The sequence below is a fragment of the Homo sapiens genome, chromosome 7, assembly GCF_000001405.40.
Source record: "Homo sapiens chromosome 7, GRCh38.p14 Primary Assembly".
NCBI lineage: Eukaryota > Metazoa > Chordata > Mammalia > Primates > Hominidae > Homo > Homo sapiens.
Window position 1 is genome coordinate 11,215,494 of NC_000007.14, and position 5,681 is coordinate 11,221,174.

Consider the following 5,681-nt stretch of genomic DNA (forward strand, 5'->3'; position numbering starts at 1 on the left):
TCATGACTGTGTTTTAGAGTGATAGTGGCGGCAGTGGGTGGTAATGGATCAGAACAATTATGTTAGAATTAGCGAGGAGAGTTAGGAAGCATCGCGGAAATACACACAGAGTACGGGGCTGGTAGCAATGAAGGAGGAGAGGGAGAAATCATGCTGAAGCGGAATCAGTAGGATTTGGAGATAGTTTGGATGTGAAAAAGAATGGTCGTAAGCATCCCATTCAATAGTTGTTCTTTCCTTTGGGTATGAGATGAGTGGAGTGCCCTACCAAACAAGGAAATGCTTCAGAATCACCAAAGAAGGAGGAAACCACAGTTTTTAGTCTTGAAGAGTAAATAGTGGAACTAAAGAAAACCAATTGTTAACATATCAGGGCCAAAGATATAGAACATATGATTATTCAGGTACCTGATAGTTTCTCTGGAACAGATCCATGATAACATGTGTATTGAGCAGAGATTTATAGGAAAATGTCAGATGATAATTAATTTGAATGCAATAAGAAAGATTTGAAACCAATAACAGCTAACAGGAAAAGCTGATTTAAAATATGCATTTAAAATGAGCTGGGCATGGTGGCGCACACCACTTGCACTCCGGCCTAATGACAGAGTGAGACTCCGTCTCAAAAAAAAAAATGCATTTATGTTATAACAAAAGTACCTTAGAGAAAGAAATATGCACTTATACCAATTAACAATATACTCCCATTCCACTTTCATTAAGTTAATTATTGTTAGGAGTACCTCTGCTGATCTAGCCAGAGTTTTATAGCTTCTTCCTTACGCACTCAGGTGTAGCAATAGAACTGAGCATTCAATTCTAGGCACTTAAAAAATAAAAAAGGAATAGAGACTTATTTGGTAAATAGTGGCAGCCACTGCCTGCCTTCACTCCCTGTCCCATGGCCAGACACTCTGCATTCAAGGCAGTTTCCACTGGAATGAATGAGGCTGGCAAAGGATGCAGGCTTAAAAGTACCTCCTTGACTGAGACTCAACAGCAGTAGGTGCCAAGGATCCTGTTCATGAGGGAAAGGGCGGGGCATAGAGGAGCAGAGCTGGGTTTCTGGACACATGTATATAGTATGTTAATTGCAATAAATTCAGTCTTCAATCTTCTAAAATGCTCACCTTCTCAGCTTCTGAATATCAGACATGTGGGTTTATCTCTCAACAGTTTATTCAGTCTTAAGAGCTACTCAGAGAAAAGAAGATTCAACTGATTTATCTTGTTGAGGAGGACAAAGAGTTAGGTACCTTGTGCTCACCATTTTTTTATGGCTAGGTTGTGCTCATTGTTCCAAACTATCTGAGCTTCACCATACATTTTTAAACAAAAATAAACTCAATATCCAGAACAAAATATGTTTAATATGACCTTCCCGTGCCTTTTGTATCTTTCATGGTGAGGTAATTGCATCAATTCTTTTAGAAAATTCTTCTCCATAATTAGGCGGATTCCAACTTTCCTTTTCTCACTTTCCCAGTGGAGATCACCAACAATAAAATCTCGAGAACCTCCCTGTACAATTATTAACTATTACTTGCATCTTTGAGAGGCCAAATACAATATTTGGAGTGGTGAACTGGAGCTTTCAACTTCAGTTTTTACACCAAAGTTTTCTCAGAAAACTTGTTTGCTCATATCACCTGACCTTTACAAAGTACATGCATACTCAATTAACTCTTAGGTTCAGTGATTTCCAAGCCAGTCTCATTCATCTTTGGCTTCATAAAAAATATGCTCAAGTTGCCAGATAGCAATCAAATAAATCTTCGGGAATTGCTCTTCTTTATTTGATTGTTTCCATAATTAGGTTTTAAGCTTCTTCTCTGAAACATTAGTTTATAAATATTGAAAAACCTTCGACCTGTGTGCATATGAGCATATCTGTAGTTCCCCATTTTCATAATGATTTAGTGCATACGTTAGAGTCAGTAGAATTACGATTGCTAACAGAATTCCAAATGTATGAACATAAATTTGGCTTCAAATTATGTAGGAAGTTTGTTTTGAAGGGCTTGGGCAGCATTAGATTGCCTGTAGAACTATAACTTAGAAAAATAAAGGATTGAGTTAGGTCAATAGTATGATAGCTTATGTTTGTCTAATTGGAGTCTGATCATATCGGTAAATCAAAATCATTTTATAAATGATTCATTTGCTAGAAGTCTTGAACTATACAGAATTTAGAACAATGAATACCATGTGCAAGAGGCAAAGTGGGATAAGGCCCATTTGCTACCTTGTGAATCTTACTATCCAGAGGGGCAATAGACTTAGACATAGCAGACTCTAGTAAGGATTGGGGGATTATTATTATTCCCAAAGGAGGGATAAACAAAGGGCTATGAAAAGGTAGTAACAATTCTGAGCAGGGTCATTAGGAAAGTCTTTACGGAGAAAGTGGCATTGGAACAAGGCTTTGAAAGACAAGGAAGTAAGAACTAAGGATGATGGCGCAGCACAGCTATCATATTCAAGTCAGAGATAATGAAGGGCTATAAGAGGCCACAAGGAATTGAGAAATCATCAAAAGTGTACTCAGGAAATATTCGTAGTTGTATGGGGTTGGTGTATGTGGTATTTATGACTGGACATTTTATCTTATTTGAGAGGAAATTAGAAGCCACTTCTGGGTGCCAAGAATGGCAAAGACAGGATAAAAAGCATGACTTTATGTAATTCTAGTTAGCTTTATATTTTACAGTTTCGTGTGTCAAGACAGGAAGTTCTGCTTGATGACACTGAATAATTTTCTGGCCCCCAGTGATTCTGTAAGAAAGTATTGTTTCACATAATTATGTGGCATTCATTATGAATCATTACGAACATTCATTTCCTTCATATTTTTTTAATTGAGTGGCTGTTAATTGCTCTCTTCACACCAAGGTCCCAGGTATAACCATTAAGGATTGTTCTCAGTCATCAATAATGCTCACTGTGTTGCAGTGAATTAGTCCACGAACATTTTCTGAAGCTCTTTATTAGGTTACTCTTATTGCATTGGGAAGACCAAAGCCAAGAATAGATGTTTTGCCTAAAATGCAATCATTAATTTTCTCTTATTGCTAGATTTCTGACTCTTACTTTGTAAATTCCCTACATGTTACCTTCGATCTAACCATGTCTGAGAAGACATTCGAAAGATCAGTATCTACAATTTGGAGGGATCCATATGCTCTCAGTGTTATTCTTTGTAAGAATGATAGACAAGATGGTCATCCCTTACTATCAGAAATCAGGGTCTGTTTAATAAATATGTTGAAATTATACATGGCAGTGGGAGTAGAAACAGAAAATAAAACTGTTCCTCACCAAAGCCGTGTGGCCATTGTGATATAGTGTCAGAGAAAAGAACAAATTTAGGGTATCGCTAAAAAAGACACTCAGGTCAAGACTAAGGGTGAGGCTAAAGACTAAGTCAAAACTGGTTGAAAGGCCTTTCAGCCAAGGCTTTTGAAACAATTAAGGTGCCTACTAGATCCTTGTATGTGCACAAAAGGATTTCTAAAAATATTAAAATCTTGATTTTATAGAACCTGGAAACCTCCATAGTATCTGTGATTGAGTATCTAGAGAGAGACATCTCAAAAGTAAGTATGAGTATGGCTTTTGGGGCCTACCATGTTTGGAACTTACAATGCTTTGGAAAAAGCTGTATTAGAGGAAGCATTGCCAGGCTGTTCTAAAAGCCTGAAATCATTTGAGATATGAAAAAATCTCAGGGCTCCCAGCTTTCCTCAGGCAGGGATCAAGCTGGGAAAACTGCTCAATATCCAAAAATGGTGTATTCTCCAATGCTATCTCCTGAGGTGGCCAAGGAGAATGATAGAAAAGGAAGATAATTCCAGAAGGCAGAGCTGTGGAAACTAACCAAATCACTTCCAGGAGCAGAAGCAGGGCCGCATCAAGAAACATTTCCTACCCTCAGAGGAGGGTGATCTGGCAACATTTGAGCAGCAGGATTTCACCTTATCTACAAGGCAGCCACTGTCGTGTGACTCCCATACTTCCCCTTTTTCTAATGGGAGTATTTATTACTTTTATCCTATTCCTGTTCCACTTTTGTATGTTCAGTTTGTGTTGGGCAGATAACTTGTCCTTTAATTAAGAGGTCTCTGGATTAAGACGAATTGCATTCGGACCTGATGTAAAATCACAAGATCCTAAAACATGAGGCTATGATTAGATGAGACTTTGGTGGGTCTTTAACTGGGGATGAATGAGTTTTGCATATGAGGAGGATATGAATAAATAGAAACAAGATTATAGTTTGTAGTAGTTCGCATGATCGTTTAGCAGATCCTCCTTTCCCCCTCCCACTTCTTTGTCCCATTGATGCCGAACTTGGTCATGTGATTTGCTTGAGCCAATAGGGTGGTAGTGGACATAAAAAGAAAATGCCTGAAAGGTACTTGTGTGGTGGTGCTTGTGTCATTGCTCTGAGAACACACACCAGAGACCCTGCTGGTCCCAGGATAAAAAGATATGTGGGTCACCCCGTCTCTACTAAAAATACAAAAAAAAAAAAAAAAAAATAGCTGGGCATGGTGGTGGATGCCTGTAGTCCCAACTACTCGGGAGGCTGAGGCAGGAGAATGGCGTGAACCTGGGAGGCGGAGCTTGCAGTGAGCCAAGATCGCGCCACTGCACTCCAGCCTGGGCGACAGAGCGAGACTCCGTCTCAAAAAAAAAAAAAAAAAAAAAACAACAACAAAAAAAAAGGCTGTCAGAGCCTCCTCAGCTTCCCTACAAACCTGCAACTTGATGTTTTCACCCTAGGCAGCTCTAGACCTATAAGTATGAGAATAAAAGCTTATTGCTGTCATGCCAGTGAATTTTGGGGTTGTTTGTTATATACCTCAATAGCTGTCTGATAGAATGCTATATCCTAAGCACTATGCTATGCACTTAATTATTCCATCATTATACTCTGGATCCTAGTGTCTTAGTCCATTTAGGCTGCTATAACAAAATACCAGAAATGGGTGGCTTATAAACTACAAATACTTATTTCTCACAGTTCTGGAAGCTAGGAAGTCTCACAGCAAGGCACCAGCAAGTTCAATGTCTGTTTCCTCACAGATGGCCATCTCCTCACTGTTTCCTCACTTGGCAGAAAGGGCAAGGAATCTCTCTGGGGTTTCTTTCATAAGGACAGTAATCCCATCCGTGAGGGCTCTGTCCCCATGATCTAATCACCCACCAAAGGCCCTAGTTCCAAATACCCTCATAATTGGGGATATGGTTTCAACATGTGAATTTGGGGCACACAAACATTAATACCACAGCATCTAGTTACTTGCATTTTAATCTTCAAATATGGAATTTTGGCCAGGTGCAGTGGCTCAATTACAAGTGCTGCAATCCCAGCACTTTTGGAGGCCAAGGCAGGAGGATTGCTTGAGCCCAGGGGTTTGAAACCAGCCTGGGCAACATGGTGAAACCCCGTCTGTACAAAAAATATGAAAATTAGCTAGGCATGGTGGTGTGTGCCTGTAGTCCCAGTTACTGGGGAGGCTGAGGTGGGAGGATTGATTGAGCATGGCAGGTTGAGGCTGCAGTGAGCTGAGATCACACCACTGTACTCCAGCCTGGGTGACAGAATGGAAAAAAAACTGTGGAATTTTCAGGTTTGTATTCTCTTAAATACATTTGAGACTGATGAGAGCAGG